The 26,881-nt window shown below is 46.3% G+C and overlaps 1 long non-coding RNA gene across 1 annotated transcript in view, besides 2 other annotated features; it reads right to left on the bottom strand.

Moving 5' to 3' along the window:
• Positions 1–26,881, bottom strand: part of LOC112268090 (uncharacterized) — a 51,420-nt gene continuing 24,539 nt past the window's right edge. Inside the window, exons 6-7 of the long non-coding RNA XR_007063199.1 lie at positions 17,282–17,388; positions 1–724 (exon numbers count right to left, since the gene is read on the bottom strand). This is a non-coding gene — a long non-coding RNA (uncharacterized LOC112268090). The remainder of the gene's footprint in view (positions 725–17,281; positions 17,389–26,881) is intronic.
• Positions 9,656–10,855: an enhancer, noted in NCBI's record as "MED14-independent group 3 enhancer chr12:8437184-8438383 (GRCh37/hg19 assembly coordinates)". NCBI's record gives its function as "activates an origin of replication core promoter dependent on BRD2, BRD4, P300/CBP and CDK7 cofactors, and independent of MED14, by STARR-seq in HCT116 cells {active_cell/tissue: HCT116}" and the evidence as "EXISTENCE:reporter gene assay evidence [ECO:0000049][PMID:35650434]".
• Positions 14,329–15,138: an enhancer, noted in NCBI's record as "NANOG-H3K27ac-H3K4me1 hESC enhancer chr12:8432901-8433710 (GRCh37/hg19 assembly coordinates)". NCBI's record gives its function as "activates a minimal SCP1, AML or CMV promoter by ChIP-STARR-seq in primed H9 embryonic stem cells {active_cell/tissue: H9 hESC(primed)}" and the evidence as "EXISTENCE:reporter gene assay evidence [ECO:0000049][PMID:30033119]".

Here is a 26,881-nt window from a genome sequence, read left to right as displayed (position 1 = left end):
CTAGGTTCAAGCAATCTACCCACCTCAGCCTCCCAAAATGCTGAGATTACAGGCATGAGCCACCGTGCCCGACCTCTAACTATTCATTATGGAAATTTCCCATATGCATAAAAAGCAGGGAGAGAATTACACCATGAACCCCCATGCACTCATCATCCCACTGCAAGAACTTGTCAATATTTCTCCAATCTCATTCCAGTTTCCACTTTTCTTTTCCTTCTTGCTATTTTAGGATATTTTAAAGCAAATTCCAGACACTTCATTTCACCCACATCCATAACACACCAGGGTGCATTCTTGATGTAAGGATTTTGTTTTGTTTTATAACCTCCATTACATTGCCACAGTTAATAGATTTAACATGAAGAAACTAAGATTCTTGCAGGTGGAGAAAAGATCTAATTACCACCTTAAAGTCTCCCTTATTAGCGCTTCTCAGATCTGAACGTGTATGCAAATCACCTGAGCATCTTGTTAAAATGCAGATTCTGGCCCAGGAGGTCCTTCCGGGTGAGCCCTGAGAGTCTTCAATTCCAAAAGCTCCTAGGTGATGCAATGCTGAGGGTCCATGAATCACACAAGAGGAAGAGTCGGCCAAACACCCACAACAACTGGGTGCAAAGTCCTGACTGTTCCTGACTGCAGGGCCTTCAGTGAACGGGGAAGCTGGGGAGCATTTGGGAAAGAAGGGAGGTTTTTCGTATCAGCTCCAGGCCTTGTAGAACTGCCAGGGAATAACAGACACAAGGTCAGCAAAGTCTAACCAACAGCACGAGTGCATTCATATTCCACAACCACTGCAGCAAAGAACCATGAAATGGGTGGCTTCAAACAATGTCTGGGCCGGGTGCCGTGGCTCACACCTAAATAATCTCAGGACTTTGGGAAGCTGAGGTGGGTGGATCACTTGAGGCCAGGAATTTGAGACCAGCCTGGCCAATATGGCAAAACCTCGTCTCTACTAAAAATACAAAAATTAGCCATGCATGGGGGCAGGCACCTGTATTCCCCACTTCTTGGGAGGCTGAGGCAAGAGAATGGCTTGAGCCTGGGAGGTGGAGGTTGCAGTGAACTGACATTGTGCCACTGCACTTCAGACTGGGCAACAGAGCAAGCCTCTGTCTAAAAAAAAAAAAAAAAAAAATTGTCTGGAGGCCAGAAGTCCAAAATCAATCAAAGGTCAGCAGGAGCATGCTTCTTCAGAGGTTCTAGGGGAGAATCCATTCCTTGCATCTTCCAGCTTATAGAGGCTACTAGAATTCCTCAACTTGTGGCTGCATGATCCAATCTCTGCCTCTGTGATCACCTTGCCTCCTCCTCTTCTGTCTGGGTCTCCTCCTCTGGAGGAAGAGTGTCAGGCCTCTGAGCCCAAGCTAAGCCATCATGTCCCCTGTGACCTGCATGTACACATCCAGATGGCCAGTTCCTGCCTTAACTGATGACATTATCTTGTGAAATTCCTTCTCCTTGCTCATCCTGGCTCAAAAAGCTCCCCTACTGAGCACCTTGTGACCCCAACCCTTCCTGCCAGAGAACAACCCCCTCTTTCCTTTACCTACCCAAATCCTATAAAATCGCCCCACCCCATCTCCCTTTGCTGACTCTCTTTTTGGACTCAGCCCACCTGAACCCAGGTGAAATAAACAGCTTTATTGCTCACACAAAGCCTGTTTGGTCGTCTCTTCACACGGATGCATGTGAAATTTGGTGCTGTGACTCGGACTGGGGGACCTCCCTTGGGAGATCAATCCCCTGTCCTCCTGCTCTTTGCTCTGTGAGAAAGATCCACCTATGACCTCAGGTCCTCAGACTGACCAGCCCAAGATACATCTCACCAATTTCAAATCTGGGAAGCAGCTTCTTTTTACTCTCTTCTCCAACCTCCCTTACTATCCCTCAACCTCTTTCTCCTTTCAATCTTGGCACCACACTTCAATCTCTCCCTTCTCTTAATTTCAATTCCTTTCATTTTCTGGTAGAGACCAAGTAGACACGTTTTATCCATGGACCCAAAACTCCGGTGCCGGTCACAGACTAGGGAAGGCAGCCTTCCCTTGGTGTTTAATCATTGCAGGGACGCCTCTCTGATTATTCACCCAGGTTTCAGAGGTGTCAGACCACGCAGGGCTGCCTGCCTTGGTCCTTCACCCTTAGCAGCAAGTCCCGCTTTTCTGAGGGAGGCCCAGGAACCCCGACCTGTTATCTCTGTGCCCTGATCCCTTATTTCCATGCCCCACCCTCTTACCTCTGTGCCCTGATCCCTTATTTCCACAACCTGACCTCCTATCTCTGCACCCCAACCCTTTATTTCTGTGCCCCAACCCGTTTCCCACTTTTCTGGAAGGCAAGAATGCCCCACCCCTTCTCTTCATGTCTCTATTCTCTCTTTTCTCTGGGCTTGCCTCCTTCACTATGGGCAAGCTTCCGCCCTCCATTCCCCTTTCTTCTCCCTTAGCCTGTGTTCTTAAAAACCTAAAACCTCTTCAACTCACACCTGACCTAAAACCTAAATGCCTTATTTTCTTCCACAATGCCACTTGACCCCAATACAAACTCGACAGTGGTTCCAAATAGCCAGAAAATGACACTTTCAATTTTTCCATCCTACAAGATCTAGATAATTCTTGTCATAAAATGGGCAAATTGTCTGAGGTGACTGATGTCCAGGCATTCTTTTACACATCGGTCCCTCCCTAGTCTGTTCCCAGTGCAACTCATCCCAAATCTTCCTTCTTTCCATCCCACCTGTCCCCTCAGTCCCAACCCCAAGCATCGCTGACTCTTTCTAATCTTCCTTTTCTACAGACCCATCTGACCTCTCCCCTCCTCGCCAGGCTGAGCTAGGCCTGAATTCTTCCTCAGCCTCTGCTCTTCCACCCTATAATCCTTTTATCACCTCCCCTCCTCACACTGGGTCCGGCTGACAGTTTCGTTCCATGACAAGCCCTCCCCAACCTGCCCAGCAATTTCCTCTTAAAAAGGTGGCTGGAGCTAAAGGCATAGTCAAAGTTAATGCTCCTTTTTCTTTATCCCAAATCAGATAAGGTTTAGGCTCTTTTTCATCAAATATAAAAATAAACCCCAGTTCATGGCTCGTTTGGCAGCAACCCTGAGATGTTTTAGAGCCCTAGACCCTAAAAGGTCAAAAGACCGTCTTATTCTTAATATACATTTTATTACCCAATCTGCTCCCGACGTTAAATAAAACTCCAAAAATTAAATTCCTGCCCTCAAACCCCACAACAGGACTTCATTAACCTCGCCTTCAAGGTGTACAATAATAGAGTAGAGGCAGCCAAGTAGCAACATATTTCTCAGTTGCAATTCCTTGCCTCCACTGTGAGACAAACCCCAGCCACATCTCCAGCACACAAGAGCTTCCAAACGCCTAAAGCGCAGTGGCCAGGCATTCCTCCAGAACCGCCTCCCCCAGGAGCTTGCTACAAGTGCCGGAAATCTGGCCACCAGGCCAAGGAATGCCTGCAGTCCGGGATTCCTCCTAAGCCATGTCCCATCTGTACGGGACCCCACTAGAAATCGGACTGTTCAACTCACCTGGCAGCCACTCCCAGAGCCCCTGGGACTCCAGCCCAAGGCTCCCTGACTGACTCCTTCCCAGATCTTCTTGGCTTAGCAGCTGCAGACCGACACTGCCTGATCGATCGCCTCGGAAGCCTACAGGACCATCACAGACGCTCTAGGTTACTCTCACAGTGGAGCGTAAGTCTATCCCCTTCTTAATCAATACGGAGGCTACCCACTCCACATTACCTTCTTTTCAAGGGCCTGTTTCCCTTGTCTCCATAACCGTTGTGGGTATTGACAGCCAGGCTTCTAAACCTCTTAAAACTCCCCAACTCTGGTGCAACTTAGACAATACTCTTTTAAGCACTCCTTTTTAGTTATCCCCACCTGCCCAGTTCCCTTATTAAGACGAGACACTTCAACTAAACTATCTGCTTCCCTGACTATTCCCGGACTACAGATACATCTCATTGCCACCCACCGTAACCCACAAGTAGAAGATACCTCTACTCCCTCCTTGGCGACCTATCATGCACCCCTTACCATCTCATTAAAATCTAATCACCCTTACCCCGCTCAATGCCAATATCTCATCCCACAGCATGCTTTGAAAGGATTAAAGCCTGTTATCACTTACCTGCTACAGCATGGCCTTTTAAAGTCTATAAACTCTCCTTACAATTCCCCCATCTTACCTGTCCTAAAACCAGACAAGCCTTACAAGTTAGTTCAGGATCTATGACTTATCAACCAAATTGTTTTGCCTATCCACCCCAAGGTGCCAAACACATATACTCTCCTATCCTCAACTCCTCCCTCCACAACCCCTTATTCTGTTCTGGATCTCAAACATGCTTTCTTTACTATTCCTTTGCACCCTTCATCCCAGCCACTCTTCGCTTTCACTTGGACTGACCCTGACACCCATCAGGCTCAGCAAATTACCTGGGCTGTACTGCCGCAAAGCTTCACAGACAGCCCCCATTACTTCAGTCAAGCCCAAATTTCTTCCTTATGTGTTACCTATCTCAGCATAATTCTCATAAAACCACACGTGCTCTCCCTGCCGATCGTGTGTGACTAATCTCTCAAACCCCAACCCCTTCTACAAAACAACAACTCCTTTCCTTCCCGGGCATGGTTGGATACTTTCATCTTTAGATACCTGGTTTTGCCATCCTAACAAAACCATTATATAAACTCACAAAAGGAAACCTAGCTGACCCCATAGATCCTAAATCCTTTCCCCACTCCTCTTTCTGTTCCTTGAAGACAGCTTTAAAGACTGCCCCCACCCTAGTCTTGGTTCCCTGACCGGGAAGCGAGGTAATTGACGGAAAGTCAAGGCAGCCCGTTAGGTGGCTTAGGCCTGCCCTGTGGAGCATCCCTGAGGGGGACTCCGGCCAGCTTGAGCGACGCGGATCCTGAGAGCTCTCCCGGGTAGGCAATTGCCCCGGAGGAATGCCTCGTCAAAGCAGTGTGTGGTAGGCCCCCATGGAAGATCAACACAGTGGCTGAACACAGGGAAGGAAGAGGCACTTGGAGTCCGGACATTTGAAACTTGGTAAGACTGGTCTTTGGAACTTGCCCACTCCATTTGAGTGGAAGCGTGGCCTGATCACCCACGGTGTGCCTGTACTGGCACTTTGGTTTTTGTTTTTGACTTGACTTGAATTGCTTGATACTTTGGTTTTGGTTTGACCTGGCTTGGATTTCTGGATACTCTGATTTTGGTTTTGATTCTGGTTTGGTGAAAACTGAAAAAGTGTGTGTGTGCCCTTCTTACCCATTCTTTGTTCTGTGGTGTGCGTGTGGTGTGAGCTTGGTGTTTTGTCTCGAGGAAACGTGGGTCAGATACAAAGTAAGCCTACTCTGCTGGGAACTATGTTGAAAAATTTTAAGAAAGGATTTAATGGAGACTTTGGGGAACTTAGAACTTTGTGTGAAATAGATTGGCCAACATTAGAAGTAGGGTGGCCATCAGAAGGAAGCCTGGACAGGTCCCTTGTTTCTAAGGTATGGCACAATGTAACTGGTAAGTCAGCACACTCAGACCAGTTTCCATACATAGACACTTGGTTACAGCTGATGCTAAACCCCCCACAGTGGCTAAGAGGGCAGGCAGCAGCAGTGCTAGTAGCAAAGTGACAGATAGCCAAGGAAGGATCCCGCTCCACCCGCAGAGGGAAATCAACTCCTGAAGTTCTGTTCGACCCAACTTCAGAAGATCCACTGCAGGAGATGGCACCAGTGATCCCAGTGGTGCCCTCTCCTTACCAGGGAGGCAGGCTCCCCACTTTTGAGTCCACAGTGCTTGCGCCTCCACAAGACAAACATATCCCTAGGCCACCCAGAGTAGATAAGAGAGGAGGTGAGGACTCGGGAGAAACCCCTCCCTTGGCAGTTCGTTTAAGACCCAAAACGGGGACACAAATGCCCCTGAGAGAGCAGCAGTATACTGGGATAGATGAGGATGGTCACGTGGTGGGGAGGCGTGTTTTTGCGTACCAGCCCTTCACCTCTGCCCACCTTCTCAACTGGAAAAACAATACCCCATCCTGTACCGAAAAGCCACCAGCTCTGATTGATTTGCTCCAAACTATTATCCAGACCCATAACCCCACCTGGGCTGATTGCCACCAGTTGCTCATGTTCCTCTTTAACACAGATGAAAGGCGGAGAGTGCTCCAAGCAGCAACTAAGTGGCTAGAGGAACATGCACCAGCTGATTACCAAAAACCCCAAGAGTATGTAAGGACCCAGTTACCAGGAACTGACCCCCAGTGGGACCCACATGAAAGAGAGGATATGCAAAGGCTAAACAGAGACAGGGAAGCTCTCTTGGAAGGATTAAAGAGGGGAGCCCAGAAGGCCACAAATGTTAGCAAAGTCTCTGAGGTCATTCAGAGAAAAGAAGAAAGTCCAGCACAATTGTAGGAGAGACTGTGTGAGGCCTATGGTATGTATACTCCCTTTGATCCCGATAGCCCTGAAAATCAAGGCATGATTAACATGGCTTTAGTTAGTCAAAGCGCAGAAGACATTAGAAGAAAACTGCAGAAACAGGCTGAGTTTGCAGGGATGAACACATCACAGTTATTAGAAATAGCTAACCAGGCATTTGTAAACAGGGATGCAGTAAGTCGTAAGGAAAACCACAGAGACAATGAATGTCAGGCCCAGCGAAACACCGACCTGTGAGCGGCAGCAATCAGAGGGGCCCCCCACAAAGAGGCAAGGGAAGGGGGGCCCCGGGAAGGAAACTCAGCCTGGCTGTCAGAGCTTGCAGCGTAATCAGTGTGCTTATTGTAAAGAAATAGGACATTGGAAAAACAAATGCCCTCAGCTAAAAAGAAAACCAGGTGACTCAGAGCAGGAGGCCCCGGACAAGGATGAAGGGGCCCTGCTCAACCTGGCAGAAGGGTTATTGGACTGAGGGGGACTGGGCTCAAGGACCCCCAAAGAGCCTATGGTCAGGATGACAGTTAGGGGTAAGACATTGATTTTCTTGTAGATACCGGTGCTAAACATTCGGTAGTAACCGCCCTGGTCACCCCCTTATCCAAAAAGATTATTGACATCATCGGAGCCAAGGGAGTTTCAGCATAGCAAGCTTTCTGCTTGCCTCGGACTTGTGCTGTAGGAGGACATAAAGTGATTCATCAGTTTTTGTACACACCTGACTGTCCCTTGCGCTTTTTGGGAAGGGACTTGCTTAGCAAACTGAGAGCCAGTATCTCTTTTACAGAGCATGGCTCTTTGCTGCTAAAGTTACCCAGAATGGGAGTCATTATGACCCTTACGGTCCCCCGAGAAGAAGAATGGAGACTTTTCTCAACTGAGTGGGGCCAAGAGATAAGACCAGCTCTGGCTAAGCGGTGGCCAAAAGTGTGGGCAGAAGACAATCCTCCAGGGTTTGCAGTCAACCAAGCCCCCGTACTTATAGAAGTTAAGCCTAGGGCCCAGCCGGTTAGGCAAAAACAGGAGCCGGTCCCCAGAGAAGCTCTTGAAGGTATCCAGGTCCATCTCAAGCACCTAAGAACTTTTGGAATTAGAGTTCCTTGTCAGTCTCCATGGAACACTCCCCTCCTGCCTGTTCCCAAGCCTAAGACCAAGGACTACTGGCTGGTACAGGATTTGCGCTTGGTTTATCAGGCTACAGTGACTTTACATCCAGCAGTACCTAACCCGTACACATTGCTGGGGTTGCTGCCAGTTGAGGACAGCTGCTTCACCTGCTTGGACCTGAAAGACGCCTTCTTTAGCATCAGATTCGCCCCTGAGAGGCAGAAGCTGTTTGCCTTTCAGTGGGAAGATCCGGAGTCAGGTGTCACTACTCAGTACATTTGGACTGGGCTTCCCCAAGGGTTCAAGAATTCCCCCACCATCTTCGGGGAGGCATTGCCTCGAGACCTCCAGAAGTTTCCCACCAGAGACCTAGACTGCGTGTTGCTCCAGTACGTTAATGACCTTTTGCTGGGACACCCCATGGCAGTCGGGTGCACCAAAGGAACAGATGCTCTACTCCGGCACCTGGAGGACTCTGGGTACAAGATGTCCAAGAAAAAAGCTTAGATCTGCCGACAGCAGGTATATTACTTAGGATTTACTATCCGAAAGGGGGAGAGCAGCCTAGGATCAGAAAGAAAGCAGGTCATTTGAAATCTACCGGAGCCTAAGACCAGAAGGCAGGGGAGAGAATTCTTATGGGCTGTGGGGTTTTGCAGACTGTAGATCCCAAATTTTGCAGTATTAGCCAAGCCGTTCTATGAGGTCACAAAGGAGGGGGGACCTGGAATTTTTGAATGGGGATCCCAGCAACAGCAAGCCTTTCATGAGATAAAGGAAAGACTTATATCAGCCCCAGCCCTGGGGCTACCTGATCTAACAAAGCCTTTTCCATCGTATGTGTCAGAGAGAGAAAAGATGGCAGTTGGAGTTTTAATCCAAACTGTGGGTCCCTGGCTGAGGCCGGTGGCCTACCTCTCTAAACAACTAGACGGGGTTTCTAAAGGATAGCCCCCGTGTTTAAGGGCCTTGGCAGCAACTGCCCTGCTAGTACAATAAGCAGATAAGCTGACTCTTGAACAAAACCTGAACATAAAGACCCCCCCCATGCTGTGGTGACTTTAATGAATACTAAAGGACATCATTGGCTAATGAATGCTAGACTCACTAAGTACTAAAGTTTGCTCTGTGAAAATCCCCGTGTAACCATTGAAGTTTGTAACACCCTGAACCCCGCTACCTTGCTCCCAGTATCAGAGAGCCCTCTCGAGCATGACTGTGAAGAAGTGTTGGACTCAGTTTACTCTAGCAGACCTAACCTCCAGGACCAGCCTTAGGCATCAGTAGACTAGGAACTATACGGGGCTGGGAGCAGCTTCATCAACCCACAAGGAGAGAGATGTGCAAGATATGCGGTGGTAACTCTGGACACTGTTGCTGAAGCCAGATCGTTTCCCCAGGGCACTTCAGCTCAGAAAGCTGAACTCATTGCTTTAATTCGGGCCTTAGAACCCAGTGAAGCTAAGAATGTCAACATTTACACTGACTCTCAATATGCCTTTTCAACCCTTCAAGTGCGTGGAGCATTATATAAAGAAAAGGGCCTATTGAACTCTGGGGGAAAAGACATAAAATATCAGCAAGAAATCTTGCAATTATTAAAAGCCGTATGGAGACCCCACAAGGTGGCAGTTATGCATTGCAGAGGACACCAGCGAGCTTCCACCTTGGTGGTTTTAGGGAATTCCCGCGCTGACTTGGAGGCTCGAAAAGCAGCATCTGCCCCCTTCCGGGCATCAGTCACAGCCCCCATGCTCCCTCAAGCACCTGATCTTGTACCCACTTATTCTAAAGAAGAAAAGGACTTTCTCCAGGCAGAGAACAAGTGATGGAGGAAGGATGAATTCGGTTACCGGATGGGAGAGAAGCTATGCCACAGCTGCTAGGAGCTGCAGTTGTACTGGCTGTGCATGAAACCATCCATCGAGGTCAGGAGTCACTTGGAAAGTTGTTAGGCTGGTATTTCTACATCTCGCATTTGTCAGCTCTTGCCAAAACGGTGAGGCAGGGGTGTGTTACCTGCCGACAGCATGATGCGAGGCAAGGTCCAGCCGTTCCACCCGGCATACAAGCTTATGGAGCAGCCCCCTTTGAAGATCTCCAGGTGGACTTCACAGAGATGTCAAAGTGTAGAGGTAACAAGTATTTACTAGTTCTTGGGCGTACCTACTCTGGGTAGGTGGAGGCTTATCCAACACGAACTGAGAAAGCTCGTGAAGTAACTCGTGTGCTTCTTTGAGATCTTATTCCTAGATTTGAACTGCCCTTACGGATCGGCTCAGATAACAGGTCGGCATTTTTGGCTGACTTAGTACAGAAGGGGGCAAAGATGTTAGGGATCACATGGCAACTGCATGCTGCCTACTGGCCTCAGAGTTCCGGAAAGGTGGAGCGAATGAATCAAACTATCAAAAATAGTTTAGGGAAAGTATGTCAGGAAACAGGATTAAAATGGATACAGGCTCTCCCTATGGTATTATTTAAAATTAGATGTACCACTTCTAAAAGAACAGGATATTCCCCTTATGAAATATTATATCATAGGCCCCCTCCTATATTGCGGGGACTTCCAGGCACTCCCTGAGAGTTAGGTGAAATTGAGTTACAGCAACAGCTACAGGCCTTAGGAAAAATTACACAAACAATCTCAGCCTGGGTAAATGAGAGATGCCCTGTTAGCTTATTCTCCCCAGTTCACCCTTTCTCCCCAGATGATCGAGTGTGGATCAAGAACTGGAACGGAGCCTCTTTGTGTCCACTGTGGAAAGGATCCCAGACTGTCGTCCTGAGCACTCCCACCGCTGTGAAGGTAGAAGGAATCCCAGCTTGGATCCACCACAGCCATGTAAAACCTGCAGTGCCTGAAACCTGGGAGGCAAGACCAAGCCCAGACAACCCTTGCAGAGCGACCCTGAAGAAGACGACACGCCCTGCTCCAGTCACACCCGGAAGCTGACTGGTCCACGCACAGCCAAAGCATGAGGAAGCTCATCGTGAGATTCATTTTTCTTAAATTTTGGACTTATACAGTAAGGGCTTCAACTGACCTTACTCAAACTGGGGACTGTTCCCAGTGTATTCAACAGGTCACTGAAGTAGGACAGCAAATTAAAGCAATCTTTCTGTTCTATAGTTATTATGAATGTATGGAAACAATAAAAGAAACTTGTTTGTATAATGCCACTCAGTGCAAGGTATGTACCCCGAGAAATGACCGACCTGATGCGTGTTATAACCCATCTGAGCCCGCTGCAACCACCGTTTTTGAAATAAGAAGAAGAACTGGCCTTTTCCTAGGTGATACAAGTAAAATAATAACTAGAACAGAAGAAAAGGAAATCCCCAAGCAAACAACTTTAAGATTTGATGCTTGTGCAGCCATTAATAGTAAAAAGCTAGAAATAGGATGTGGTTCTCTTAACTGAGAAAGGAGCTAAAGAGTAGAAAATAAATATGTTTGTCATGAGTCAGGGGTTTGTAAAAATTGTGCCTATTGGACATGTGTTATTTAGGCTACTTAAAAAAAGAACAAAAAGGACCCGGTTTATCTTCGGAAGGGGGAAGTCAACCCCTCCTGTGCTGCCGGTCACTGTAACCCACTAGAACTAATAATTACCAATCCCCTAGATCCCCATTGGAAAAAGGGAGAACGTGTAACCCTGGGGATCAATAGGACAGGGTTAAACCCTCAAGTTGCCATTTTAATTAGAGGGGAGGTCCACAAGTGCTCTCCCAAACCAGTATTTCAAACCTTTTATGAGGAGCTGAATCTGCCAGCACCATAACTTCTGAAAAAGACAAAAAATTTGTTTCTCCAATTAGCAGAAAATGTAATTTTCTTACTTAATGTTACTTCTTGTTATGTACGCGGAGGAACCACTATCGGAGACAGATGGCCTTGGGAAGCCCGAGAGTTGGTGTCTACTGATCCAGCTCCTGATATAATTCCAGTTAGAAGGCAGAATCTAGCAACTTCTAGGTCCTAAAAACCTCAATTATTAGACAATACTGTATAGCTAGAGAAGGGAAAGACTTTATCATCCCTTTAGGAAAGCTTAATTGTGTAGGACAGAAGTTGTATAACAGCACAACAAAGACAATTACTTAGTAGGGACTAAACCACACTGAAAAGAATCCATTTAGTAAATTTTCTAAATTAAAAACTGCTTAGGCTCATCCAGAATCTCATCAGGACTGGACTGTTCCCTCTGGACTATACTAGATATGTAGGCACAGAGCCTACATTCGGTTACCTAATAAATGGGCAGGCAGTTGTGTTATTGGCACTATTAAGCCATCCTTTTTCTTATTACCCATAAAAATGGGTGAGCTCCTAGGTTTTCCTGTCTACGCCTCCCGAGAAAAGAAAGGCATAGTTATAGGAAACTGGAAAGATAATGAGTGGCCCCCTGAAAGGATCATTCAGTATTATGGGCCTGCCACATGGGCACAAGACGGCTCATGGGGATACCGAAACCCCATCTACATGCTCAATTGGATCATACGGTTGCAGGCCATCTTAGAAATAATTACTAATGAAACTGGCAGAGCTTTGACTGTTTTAGCTTGGCAAGAAACCCAAATGAGGAATGCTATCTATCAGAATAGACTGGCCTTAGACTACTTGCTAGTAGCTGAAGGAGGAGTTTGTGGAAAATTTAACTTAACCAATTGCTGCCTACAAATAAATGATCAAGGACAGGTGGTTAAAAACACAGTCAGGGACATGACAAAGGTGGCACATGTGCCTGTACAGGTTTGGCACGAGTTTAATCCTGAGTCTTAATTTGAAAAATGGTTTCCAGCTATAGGAGGATTGAAAACCCTCATTGTAGGTGTATTGCTAGTGATAGGAACCTGCTTGCTGCTCCCCTGTGTATTACCCTTGCTTTTTCAAATGATAAAAGGTTTTGTAGCTACTTTGGTTCATCAGAAAAACTTCAGCACACGTGTGTTATATAAATCACTATCGCTCTATCTCACAAATAGACTCAAAAAGTAAAAATGAGAGTGAGAACTCCCACTAAAAGGTGAAAATGCTCAAAGGAGGGAAATATGGTGTGAGGCCACCACTTCTCCTGTTGTCCTTCCCAGTTTCTCCCCAACCTCCCCTTTTCCCTAGTTTGTAAGACAGCAAAAAAGGGAGAAAGCAAAAAGTTGGAAAAAACAGAAGTAAAATAAATAGCTAGACGACCTCGGCGCCACCACCTCGCCCTGGTGGTTAAAATATCAATAATATTAACCCCTGACCAAAACTATTGGTGTTATCTGTAAATTCCAGACATTGTATGAGAAAGCACTGTAAAAACTTTTTGTTCTGTTAGCTGATGTATGTAGCCCCCAGTCACGTTCCTCATGCTTACTTGATCTATTGTGACTTTTTCACGTAGAACCCTTAGAGTTGTCAGCCCTTAAAAGGGCTAGGAATTTCTTTTTCAGGGAGCTCGGCTCTTAAGACATGAGTCTGCCTATGCTCCCGGTGGAATAAAAAAACCTCTTCCTTCTTTAATCCGGTGTCTGAGGAGTTTTGTCTGGAACTCGTCCTGCTACACTAGCTCTCCGTGACTCATCCCAACCCTTTTCATTACACACAGCCGAAGTGCAGCGCTGTGCAGTTGAAATTCTTACACAAGGACCAGGATCGCGTCCTGTAGCCTTTTTGTCCAAACAACTTGACCTTACTGTTTTAGGTTGGCCGTTGTGTCTCCGTGCAGCAGCTGCTGCCACCCTAATACTTTTAAAGGCCCTTAAAATCAGAAACTATGCTCAACTCACTCTCTACAGCTCTCATAATTTCCAAAATCTATTTTCTTCCTCACACCTGCCACATATACATTCTGCTCCCCGGCTCCTTCTGCTGTACTCACTCTTTGTTGAGTCTCCCACAATTACCATTGTTCCTGCCCCGGACTTCAATCCAGCCTCCCACATTATTCCTGATACCACACCTGACCCTCATGACTGCATCTCTCTGATCCACCTGACGTTCACCCCATTTCCCCACATTTCCTTCCTCCCTGTTTCTCACCCTGATCACACTTAGTTTATTGATGGCAGTTCCACCAGGCCTAATTGCCACACACCAGCAAAAGCAGGCTATGCTACAGTACAAGCCACTAGCCCTCCTCTTAGAACCTCTCATTTCCTTTCCATCGTGGAAATCTATCCTCAAGGAAATAACTTCTCAGTGTTCCATCAGCTATTCTACTACTCCTCAGGGTTCTTCAGACCCCCTCCCTTCCCTACACATCAAGCTCAGGGATTTGCCTCCACCCAGGACTGGCAAATTAGCTTTACTCAACGTGCCCCAAGTCAGGAAACTAAAATAACTCTTGGTCTACGTAGACACTTTCACTGGATAGGTAGAGGCCTTTCCCACAGTGTCTAAGAAGGCCACCACGGCCATTTCTTCCCTTCTGTCACACATAATTCCTCAGTTTGGCCTTCCCACCTCTATACAGTCTGATAGCAGACCGGCCTTTATTAATCAAGTCAGCCAAGCATTTTTTCAGGCTCTTAGTATTCAGTGAAAGCTTTATATCCCTTACAGTCCTCAATCTTCAGGAAAGGTAGAACAGACTAATGGTCTTTTAAAAACACACCTTACCAAGCTCAGCCACCAACTTAAAAAGGACTGGACAATACTTTTACCACTTTCCCTTCTCAGAATTCAGGCCTGTCCTCAGAATGCTACAAGGTACAGCCCATTTGTTGCGGGAAGTCAGGGACCCCAAACGGAGGGACCGGCTGAAGCCATGGCAGAAGAACGTGGATTGTGAAGATTTCATGGACATTTATTAGTTCCCCAAATTAATACTTTTGTAATTTCTTATGCCTGCCTTTATTTACTGCAATCTCTAAACATAAATTGTAAAGATTTCATGGACACTTATCACTTCCCCAATCAATATCCCTGTGATTTCCTATGCCTGTCTTTGCTTTAATCTCTTAATCCTGTCAGCCGAGAAGGATGTATATCGTCTCAGGAACCTGTAATAATTGCGTTAACTACACAAATTGTGCAGCATGTGTGTTTGAGCAATATGAAATGTGGGCATCCTGAAAAAAGAACAGGATAACAGCAATTGTTCAGGGAATAAGAGAGATAACCTTAAACTCTGACCGCCGGTGAGCCGGGCAGAACAGAACCATATTTCTCTTCTTTCAAAAGGAAATGGGAGAAATATCACTGAATTCCTTTTCTCAGCATGGAACGTCCCTGAGAAAGAGAATGCGCACCTAGGGGTGGGTCGCTGAACTGGCCCCCCCGGAGCGTACCTCTCTCTTATAGTCGAGATTGCAGAGGTGAAATAAACGCCAGTCTCCCATAGCACTCCCAGGCTTATTAGGAAGAGGAAATTCCTGCCTAATAAACTTTGGTCAGACCGGTTGATCTCAAAACCCTGTCTCCTTATAAGATGTCATCAATGACAATGGTGCCAAAGCTTCATTAGCAATTTTAATTTCACTTCGGTCCTGTGGTCCTGTGATCTCGCCCTGTCTCCACTTGCCTTGTGATATTCTATTACCTTGTTAAGTACTTGATGTCTGTCACCCACACCTATTCGTATACTCCCTCCCCTTTTGAAACTTCCTAATAAAAACTTGCTGGTTTTTGTGGCTTGTGGGGCATCACGGATCCTACCCAAGTGTGATGTCTCCCCCGGACGCCCAGCTTTAAAATTTCTCTCTTTTGTACTCTGTCCTTTTATTTCTCAAGCCAGTCGACGCTTAGGAAAATAGAAAAGAACCTACGTGATTATCGGGGCAGGTCCCCCGATACCCATTGGATCTCCTGTATAGACACTCCTTTTTATTAGGCCCCAGTCTCATTCCAGACACAAGACCAACTTGGACTGTGCCCCAAAAAACTTGTCATCCCTACTATCTTCTGTCTAGAAGAGATTCACCGTTCTCAACTACTCATATATGCCCTGCTCTTGTTTACACTGGTGGTTTACACTGTTTCTCCAAGCCATCACAGCTGATATCTCCTGGTGGTATCCCCAAACCACCACTCTTAACTCTTAAATAATCTTTGCTGGCAAGGCTATGCTGAACCTCCCTAGGCACTCTCTAATTAGATGTCCTAGGTCCTCCCAATTCTTAGTCCTTTAATACCTGTTTTTCTCCTTCTCTTATTCCGTTTAGTTTTTCAATTCATACAAAACTATATCCAGGCCATCACCAATAATTCTGAATGACAAATGTTTCTTCTAACAACCCCACAATATCACCCCTTACCACAAAATCTTCTTTCAGCTTAATCTCTCCTACTCTAGGTTCCCATGCCACCCCAATCCCGCTCGAAGCAGCCCTGAGAAACATCACCCATTATCTCTCCATACCACCCCCCAAAAATTTTCACCATCCCAATACTTCACCACTATTTCATTTTATTTTTCTTATTAATATAAGAAGACAGGAACGTCAGGCCTCTGAGCCCAAGCTAAGCCATCATATCCCCGGTGACCTGCATGTACACATCCAGATGGCCGGTTCCTGCCTTAATTGATGACATTCCACCACAAAATAAATGAAAATGTCCTGTTCCTGCCTTAACTGATGACATTATCTTGTGAAATTCCTTCTCCTTGCTCATCCTGGCTCAAAAGCTCCCCTACTGAGCACCTTGTGACCCCCACTCTTACCTGCCAGAGAACCCCCCTTTTTCCTTTACCTACCCAAATCCTATAAAGTGGCCCCACCCCTATCTCCCTTCGCTGATTCTCTTTTTGGACTCAGCCCACCTGCACCCAGGTGAAATAAACAGCTTTATTGCTCACAAAAAGCCTGTTTTGTGGTCTCTTCACACGGACGCGCATGAAAAAGTGTGTCCTTTTTTTTTTTTTTTGAGATGGAGTTTCACTCTTGTTGCCCAGGCTGGAGTGCAGTGTCATGATCTCAGCTCACTGCCACCTCCTCCTCCTGGGTTCAAGCAACTCTCTTGCCTCAGCCTCCCCAGTAGCTGGGATTGCAGGCATGCGCCACCATGCCCGGCTAATTTTGTATTTTTAGTAGAGATGGGGTTTCTCCATGTTGGTCAGGCTGGTCTCAAACTCCTGACCTGAGGTGATCCACCCGCCTCGGCCTCCCAAAGTGCTGGGATTACAGGCATGAGCCACTGCGCCCGGACAAAAGTGTCCTCTTATAAGGACATTTGTCTTTAGATGTATAGCCGACCTAAATTACTCCAGGAGAATCTCAAGATCCTTAACTTAATTACATCTGCAAAGACCCTTTTTCCAAATAATGCCACCTCCACAGATTCTAGGCACAAGGATCTGGATATATCTTGTGCAAAGCCACCTTTCAGCTCACTACACTAGAAAGAGGAAAAACAACGAAGTAAAAAAAGGCACAGAAGAAAGAACAGATGCAGCTTGTGTGGCAGTGGCCATCAAGGCAGGCTGGGGTAAAACTGTGTTAACCGAACCCCCAGACGGATCTCAAGTGTGGCCGTCTACTCCCAGCTACTCACAGAGAACGTTTCTGTTTCTGACAGCAGAGTAAGAGAAGGGGTGGGAAGAGAGATAGCCCATTCTCTGTTGGCCTAATTCCTAAGGAATTGTGCCTCTGCCTTCGGGTCATTCTCAAGTCTTGTTCAAGGATGAAATGATTTATTGATGGCCGTAATTAAAAAGCAATGGCAACAGAAGCAGCCTCAGCATTTTTCATTTGTACTTACACATGAGCAAGAGCAGTTTAGGGAAACGGGTGTCTTCAGGTTCTGTTTTCTCCATCTAGAAAAGGGCTGCCTTCGTGGAATGCTGGTCCCAGGGAGAAGCCTCATTTCTATAGCAGGAATTGATAGAGTTTTAAATTCCGATTGGTACACGGAGCTACCCGTCCTCATTTCAAGCACTTCTGGTTTGTTCTGGGTTCAGTGGATGAGCAATGAGTAGAAATCTGGGGAGGAGGATTTGGAGTGAGCGTGGTTTTGATCCCCAGAGGGAGCTGTTTTTCCATCAATGTCTTGACTGTGATTCAGAATGGGCTTCTCTGCTCAAGATGGGAGTACTGGGCTGATTTAAGGCAGGTGATTGACTTGATTTGGTGGCTACTTTTATACTAGCTGGTTAACGAGCTATTTTCTTCATTAGTTTCAGGCATGTGAGCTTAATGAAGCATTGGACCTCCCAAATTACAATGAAAATACAGATATAGCTTATGTGGTAGGTTCAAAGGAGTTAGTGAACAAACACAGTAGGGCCATAAATTATTGTTAAAGACATGAATGCATGAAAGTGTATCTATGTCCAAATGGACTCTCTACAACCATACTGTTCCACCTGAAAATTTGTACATAGAAATTCAGCAAATGCTTGGACAGGGGATACTCTCAGAACTATTCTGACTAAATAGCAGGTTTTATTTTCATATCACTAAAGTAATTTCTTCTCAAATTGACTCTGAACTAAATCTTATGATACCTCCTTGCTCCGATTGTACTTAACCACCTGCAATTAAGGTGGAGGCAGTGGTAAGAGGAGCTGTTGAATGAAATTAAACATTTGTTGGATGCCTACTGAAGATAAAGCCCTGTGCTTTGTGCCAGGAAGATTCCAGAATAAATGAGGCACAGACCTACTCTCAGGAAGCTTTTGCAAACTAATGGAGAAAACACATCTGCAGGCAATGACTTATGGTATAAGAGGAAATGGGGCCAGGTACGGTGACTCACACCTGTAATCCCAGCACTTTGGGAGGCCGAGGTAGGTGGATCAATTGAGGTGAGGAGTTCAAGCCTCGCCTGGCCAACATGTCGAGACCCTGTCTCTACTAAAAGTACAAACAAAAAAACAACAACAAAAAAATAAGCCAGGCTTGATGGTGTGCACCCGCAATCCCAGCTACGTGGGAGGCTGAGGCACAAGAATCACTTAAACCTGGGAGGTGGAGACTGTAGTGAGCCGAGATCCCGCCACTGCACTCCAGCCTAGAAGACAGAGCGAGACTCTGTCAAAAAAAAAAAAAAAAGGAAATAAGATTGGTGTTGAATGGGAAATCTAGGCAGGATGGAATGACAGGAGAGCGCCCACTTGCCCAGCTCCAATAACACTTTTGACAGCCATGACAATATTGCAGGGACACCCATTCCTCATGGTATCTGAAGTCCCATGAAGGCTTGAGTCTGGAGGCTGGTTCAGTCTTGACTTTAAGATCAGGGGATACAAGGAATGATTTTCATCTATCCCAAGCCAATAGTCCAGCCAAAAATCTAGGTCTGAGATGATGAGAAAAAGCAAGTCATCACCCATGTCAACCATTTCATCATCATCATCATCATCATCATCATCATCATCATCAAAAACAAAAGACAGACCTGTAACCGTCTTGTGTGCCTGGCTCTCATCTTAGTTCAAAATATAGAAGTAAATTCTATGGCCAGCGAACAATGACCAAAATAGCTCTCATCACTCTTGTCTGCCACCATGTAAGACATTCCTTTTGCCTTCCACCATGATTTCGAGACTTCTTCAGCCACATGGAACTGTGAGCCCATTAAACCTCTTTTTCTTTATAAATTACTCAGTCTTGAGTAATAAAATAGTGGTTTGTCCACAACATCAATGAACGATGCTGTTACTTGTTCCAAACACATATCATTTAAGAGGTTTGGATAAACAACAACCTAAAATAAATAAGCACTAAGCAAACTCAGGGCTACATAAACCCTGTGGTGAGGTAACTGACAATGGGTACAACTGGGACACTTTACTGTTAAATCACCTCTATCTACATGTGCCCAAGCTGTGAGGTACTTGGTTTTAATCCTAAAAAATCATGGTGCACATTTATTCCTGCCTTCCAACTGGGCTCTAATGTCACCTCCTCAGAGAAGCCCACTTTTCTGTGCTTCCACTCTGCTTTTTTTCAGCATTTAGTAGAGCATCAGTCACCATCCATATCTGGGAACAATGATTGTAAGAAACAGAAACCCATTTGCATGAGCTTGAGGACAAGGAGCACACCTTATCTCTAACAGGCAAACTCATGGGCACAAGAAACAAATGAGCGGCCATGAGAGAATGGATACTGCAGTTACAGAAACCAAAATTCCTCTTTCTTGCTCTCAGAAGCCCATGGTCTCTTTTTTTTTTTTGAGACGTAGTCTCCCTCTGTCGCCCAGGCTGGAGTGCAGTGGTGTGATCTCAGTTCACTGCAAGCTCCACCTCCTGGGGTTCACGCCATTCTCCTGCCTCAGCCTCCCAATTAGCTGGGGCTACAGGCACCCGCCACCACACTCAGCTAATTTTTGTATTTTTAGTAGAGATGGGGTTTCACCGTGTGAGCCAGGATGGTCTCGATCTCCTGACCTCGTGATCCGACCATCCTGGCCTCCCAAAGTGCTGGGATTACAGGCGTGAACCACCGTGCCCAGAAGCCCATGGTCTTTCTTATGAGCCCTGTGGACTTTCTTATCTCTTCTTCTCACTCACAACCAATTTTCCCTTTTTGCTGGTGGCCCATCATGGCAGCCAGCAGAGCCCACCGCCAGCTGATCAGTCAGTTACTGGATATCTTGGAGAGGGAGGGAGGGAGGGAGGGAGGGAGAGGGAGAGAGAGAGAGAGAGAATGACAATTGGGCTTCTGGCCAACCAATTGAGTATAGGGAGGGGAAGTACCATGGTACAAATATGGCGCCAAGACCTGCTTTCCAGCATGGCCAGTGAGTAGGGAAATTGAGGGAAGGTACCTGCAAACACAGCAGACATCTCAGAACATGCTCTCTGTTCTTAGTTCTCTCTCCTGCCTTCTCCTAGATTGTAAATATCACAAGACAATCTAGGATAGTACCTGGCTCAAAATATTTGAGAAAGAGAAAAAGGAAGGCATTGGATCAAACTGTGGACTTCATGGTTTCCTAAATTCACTCTGCAAGTTTTTGGGTTTTTTGTTTATTGAGACAGAGTCTTGCTCTGCTGCCCAGGCTGGAGTGCAATGGCATAATCTTGGCTCACTGCAACCTCCACCTCCCAGGTTCAAACAAATCCCCTGCCTCAGCCTCCTGAGTAGCTGGGATTAAAGGCACGCACAGCTACACCAGCTAATTTTTGTATTTTTAGTAGAGACAGGGTTTCACCATGTTGGCCAGGCTGGTCTCGAACTCTTGACCTCGTGATCCACCCACCTCGGCTTCCCAAAGTGCTGGGATTACACGTGTGAGCCACCACACCTGGCTGACTCTGCAAGTATTTAAGTGAATGAATGTCAGTCCCTGAGAATCAGAATTTCTTCTGATTTAACGGCATTAAATCTCCATTAGGTTTAATCCTGGTCAGCAGCTGTGGGGTGTCCTGGGTTTGGGATCAGTGGGATGAGGAACAAGCAGGTTCTCCAAACCACCACTCAGGGAGGGGAGGTGTTAACTAGGCCAAAGATGATGGGTGGGGTACGTGCCTGGGTTTCAAACAGCTTATGCCAGGCCTAAAAACCGATGCTGAGGCAGAAACTGTATTAAGCAAATTGATGACACAATGGCGGGGGTCAAAGAGTTTAATATTGCTAAGAAGATACAAATATTGATCATGCAATATGTTATGGTTATCACGCCATCTCCTGCTACGCGCCAGGTTTCCTTTACCATGAGATGGAAGAGATTTGTGGATCTGACCTAACCCTCCAAATTGTAAGGTCCCTGAGAGTGGGCTCATGACATTCATGTTTAATAAATGTGGCATAAAGCCTCACGCTGGCTGCCATGTGGCCCAATGCCAGTTCGATGCTACATTCAAAGAACCATCATTCCAGCATGCAAGCATACTGAAAGGCAATCGAAATGTTTACCGCCGATCCTCAAGACAAACACCAAAGAAAAATTATTTTCAAAATGCATAGCAACACTTTTAAAATCTTATTTTCCCAACTCTTTCTCTCTCTCTACCACATTCCCAGGAGTTTACCAGGAGCAAAACTATCATAAAGACCCAGGAGCAAAATGATTAATGACTTCACTATATCTGATTCTGATTTAGTTGGTTTAGAGTGGTGTCCGGGCAAACGTATTTTTTAAAATCTTGCTGGGCACAGTGGCACACACCTGTAGTCTCAGCTACTCAGGAGGCTGAGGCAGAAGAATCACTTGAGCCCGGGAGTTTGAGTCCAGCCTGGGCAACAGAGCAAGACCCTGTCTCTGAAAAAAAAAAAAAAAAAAAAAAAAAAAAGCAAAAACAAATCTCTCTCAGCTGCAGTCAGGGTTGATAACTAGTTGATCAAAAATTTGTGGCAGCCATCCTTCACAATGGACCTTAATATTCCCACCTCCTGGTGTTATTCATTGTGGAATCTGTCTTAGCTAGTCCTCAATTGGTTCTGGTATCCAGGCCCCACCTTGAGAGACTAGTCCCACCTCCTACCCCACACATGGTTTTACACTTACTTTCAAGACTGGCCTAAAAATGTAAAATGTATTTGTTTTGACCTTGTTTCCAATGAAACAACTATTCTAAACATCCATTTAGGATGGTTAGGGAAATTTGAACACCGGCTAAATATTAGAAGATATTTGCTTCAAAATAACCCAGATTGGTAATGAGATGATGGCGGCAGAGGCTGGTGATAAGCACAGAGGGCTTCATTATCAAATAGAAACAAGTGGAAAAAACAGAATTTTTCCATAATACAAATGTAAGGTAAACAGGAAAATGTATTGAGTGCATAAAAAGAATCTGTGGTCTCACAGGCATTAGATTATAATTTGAACATCAAAAATAAAAGTGACGGCCAGGTGCAGTGGCTGATACCTGTAGTCCCAGCACTTTGGGAGACCGAGGTGGGTGGATCACTTGAGCCCAGGAGTTTGAGACCAGCCTGAGCAACATAGTGAGACCCCCATCTCTAAAATAAATAAATATAAATAAAAGTGACTAGAATTGATTATAGAACATCAACTCGATTTGAGTCTATAAAGATTACTGGTGGAGGGGGGCAATGGGGAGAAGGAGGAAGAGAATATACTTGTGACCTAGATTATTTTCCTTAGTTTTGAGAGAATCTTCGGGTCTCCTGGGTCTTCTAGCCCAGTATTAATGTTTATTTTTTATTTATTTATTTTTTTTTAAATTTTTTTAGATGGAATCTCACTCTGCCACCAGACTGGAGTGCAGTGGTGTGATCTCGGGCCACTGCAACTTCCGCCTCCCAGGTTCAATCTATTCTCCTGTCTCAGCCACCCAAGTAGCTGGGACTACAGGTACCTGCCACTTCACTCAGATAATTTTTTTTTTTTTTTTTTTTTTTTTTTTTGAGACAGAGTCTGGCTCTGTTGCCCAGGCTGGAGTGCAGTGTTACAATCTCGGCTCACTGCAAGCTCCACCTCCCAGGGTCATGCCATTCTCCTCCCTCAGCCTCCCGAGTAGTTGGGACTACAGGCACCTGCCACCACGCCCGGCTAATTTTTTTGTATTTTTAGTAGAGACAGGGTTTCACCGTGTTAGCCAGGATGGTCTCGATCTCCTGACCTCGTGATCTGCCCGCCTCAGCCTCCCAAAGTGCTGGGATTACAGGCATGAGCCACTTTGCCCGGCCGCACCCAGCTAATTTTTGTATTTTTTGTAGAGATGGTGTTGCACTATGTTGATCCAGGCTGGTCTCAAACTCCTGACCTTAGGTGATCCGCCAGCCTTGGCATCCCAAAATACAAGGATTACAGGCATGAGCCACCACACCCTGCCTATTTTCCTTAGTTTTCAGGGAACCTTTGTGTCCCCTGGGTGTTCTAGCCCAGTATATCTCAAACTTTGCTGCACCGAGGACCTTGTTGAAATGCAGGTTCTCATCGCGAGGCTCAGTGGGCCGGCAAATCTGCATTGGTTTAGGAAGCTCACCCTGAGTAGCAAGCTTCAGTGAGGACCAGGCGGGCCCCTGCCTGCCAACGCCCTCTCAGCTGGGCTTAATTCTGGCTCTCTCCTGCCAGGGTTCCTCCCCTCAAAATCGGAGCTATTTTCAAAAAGTCTCTTGGAAAAAAGGTCCTGTTTTAAAATTGGGGTGTTCAGGATTGGCCATCTGCTCACCATGGGGTTTTAAGACCTTTGCCCAGACCCCTGCAACCAACTTAGAACTGACATCTTTACTCTTGAAGGCCCCACTCCACACCATATTAAATTCACTAAAATCAACCCCCATGACAGGCATATCTCAGGCATCACGCCCTCAGAACGGCGTTGCAGCTGACCACTTGACAATGTTGCAAAGCATTAAACATGCATTCATTTCAACCTTGCAGTTTTCACATTTAGGAGCCAATTGTCTTAGGTCTAAAGCATTCATGCCGAAGCATTTTTATGGGCCCCAGACACTATGCTTCCCAGCCTTCATGGCCTCTCCAATGCTGGTTCCTACTGCCCCACCCCTGGGTTCTGGCCGGCTAGCCCGCGCCACCTCACTTCTCCCCCATTCAAGTGTGCCTTAAAGGTGTGGTTTCCAAACTCATCTACACTTTAGGGTCACCTGGGATTTTTTTTTAAATCTTCCAAAACCCAGGCCACACCCAAGAACAATTAAAGCTCAACCTCTGGAATGGGACATAGCATCCGTTTTTTGTTTTGTTTTTGAGACAGGGCCTCGCTCTGTTACCGAGGCTGGAGTGCAGTGGCACAATTATAGCTCATTACAGCCTCCAACTCCTGGGCTCAAGAAACCCTCCCACTTCAACCTCCACGGTAGCTGGGATCACAGGCGGGCACCACCACACCTGGCTAATTTTTAAATTTTTTTATAGAGACGGTATCTCCCTATGTTCTCCAGGCTGGTCTCAAACTCCTGGCCTCAAGCGATACTCCCGCCTCAGCCTCCCAAACTGCTGGGACAATAGGCATGGGCCACCATGCCTGGACATCAGCATCTGTATTTTTTGAAGCACAGACGAGTTTGGGAACTACTGCGCTAGAGTGAGCTCGGTTTCCTAGACCTGTCTGACCGTAGGATTCGGCTGGGCTGCTTCTGAAAACAGAGCACCCCAGGCTCCTTCCCAGGTAATTCTGATTCATTAGGTCTGGGGTGGGCCCCGGAATGTGCATTTTTTATGAGATCCCTCTGGGTGAATCAGGCTAAAGCCAGTTTGGGATCTGAGACCTTGGAGATCATTCCCCAGCTTCCCTCCTAACCCAGTTCCCAGCTTGGCCCACCTCACCCAGGCTGTGTCACATCTGACTTCACAGATTACACCTGAGAGGGAAGCCCCAGCCACCACAATGTGAGAACATTTTACAATGACCAGGATATGCCAAATACATTTTAAAACTCATTCAGGATTAGCGTTCACCTTAAACTTGACGGACTCTGAGAACGGGCTGGCCACGTGCTGTGCACAACCCTTAGTGCTCTTCTGTGACTAATATTTGGATAATTGATTGTTGGAAGCTTGGGAAGCCTCTCTCTCTCAGAGGGGTCGAAGTTAACTTCTTTATTTCTGAGGTAGGGAACAAAATGAGGATGTTCTGCCTTTTGCTAGACTGAATACTGTCCTCCAAAAATTCACATTCACCAGGAATCCCAGAATGTGACCTTATTAGGAAATAGGGGCAGGGCATGGTGGCTCATGCTTGTAATCTTAGCACTTTGGGAGGCTGAGGCAGGAGGATCACTTGAGGTGAGGAGTTCGAGACCAGCCTGGCTAGCATGGCAAAACCGTCTCTACTAAAAACAGAAAAATTAGCTAGGCATGGTGGCATGCACCTGTAATCCCAGCTACTTCAGAGGCTGAGGCTGAAGAATCACTTGAACCCAGAGGCAGAGTTGCAGCGAGCTGAGATTGTTTCACTGAAATCCAGCCTGGGCAACAGAGCAAGACTCCATCTCAAAAAAAAGAAAAGAAAATAGGGTCTCTGCAGATCTAATTACAAAGAGGTCATATTGGAATAGCGTGGACCTTAAATCGAGTAATAATGGCATCCTCATGGGAAGAGAAGAAGAGACAGAGACACACAGGGGAGAAGGCCACATGAGAATGAAGGAAGAGAATGGAATGATGTGGCCACAAGCCAAGGAATGCCAGCAACCATCAGAAGCCAGAAGAGGCAAGGAAGGATTCATCCCTAGAGCCTTCAGAGGGAGCACTGCCCTGCCCGTTTCAGACATCAAGCTTCTGGAACTGGAGAGAATGACTTTCTGTTGTCCTGAGCCACCCATTTGGGGAACTTTGTTAGAACAGTCACAGCCAGCTCATGTGCTCCTGGATGCATCTCAGGCATTAACAAGCACTGTCTTGGATGAGTCAGGGGTGGCTCATCCCTGTAATCCCAGCACTTTGGGAGGCTGAGGTGGGTAGATCACCTGAGGTCAGGAGTTCGAGACCAGCCTGACCAACATGTAGAAACCCCATCTCTACTAAAAATACAAAAATTAGCTGGGCATGGTGTTGTGCACCTGTAATCCCAGCTACTTGGGCGGCTGAGGCAAGAGAATCACTTGAACTGTGGAGGCAGAAGTTGCAGTGAGCCGAGATTGCGCCATTGCACTCCAGCCTGGGCAACAAGAGCGAAACTCCGTCTCAAAAAAAAAATAGGAAGTACTCTCTTGACTGTGGTCATAAAAATATTTGATTAAGGGTTAGCCAGAAAGCCTGACCCTTTCACAGATGGACGGAAGGGCCAAAAGAGAATAGATTGTTTGCAGTGGGGCAAGAAGGATAAGAATCCTATGGAAAAAAAAAAAACAAACAGAGGGATTTGTTTAGTGAGCGCTGGGGAGAGGCATTTGTTTTCTTGCTTACAAAAGAAACACAGGTTGGGTGCGGTGGCTCAAGCCTTAATCCCAGCACTCTGGGAGGCCAAGGTGGGTGGATCACCTAAGGTCAGGAGTTCAAGACCAGCCTGGCCAACACTGTGAAACCCCATCTCTACTAAAAAGACAAAAACAAAAGAAAAAGAAATTAGCCAGGCATGGTGGCGAGCGCCTGCAATCCCAGCTACTCGGGTGGCTGAGGCAGAGAATCACTTGAACCTGGGAGGCAGAGGTTGCAGTAAGCCAAGATGGCATCGTTGCACTCCAGCCTAGGCAACAAGAGTGAAACTCTGTCTCAAACAAAAGAAAGAAAGAAAGAAAAAAAAACATAGTTTTAAGTCCACTCAGTGGAGTTTAAAAATACATTCCCATTGCACAGTGCTTTTGGAATCTTTTCTAAACTTCTGTTGCACATGATCTAATTTGATCTTCATAGCAACTCCCTGAGATGGATAGGGCAGGCCTTTCTGAACACCCATTTTCTAGTTTGCATTAAAAGAATGGAATTGGCTGGGACCAGTGGCTCATGCCTATAATCCCAGCACTTTGTGATACAGAAGGG

Source organism: Homo sapiens, chromosome 12, assembly GCF_000001405.40.
Source record: "Homo sapiens chromosome 12, GRCh38.p14 Primary Assembly".
Classification (NCBI taxonomy): Eukaryota; Metazoa; Chordata; class Mammalia; order Primates; family Hominidae; genus Homo; species Homo sapiens.
This window is presented reverse-complemented; position numbering and strand designations above follow the sequence as displayed.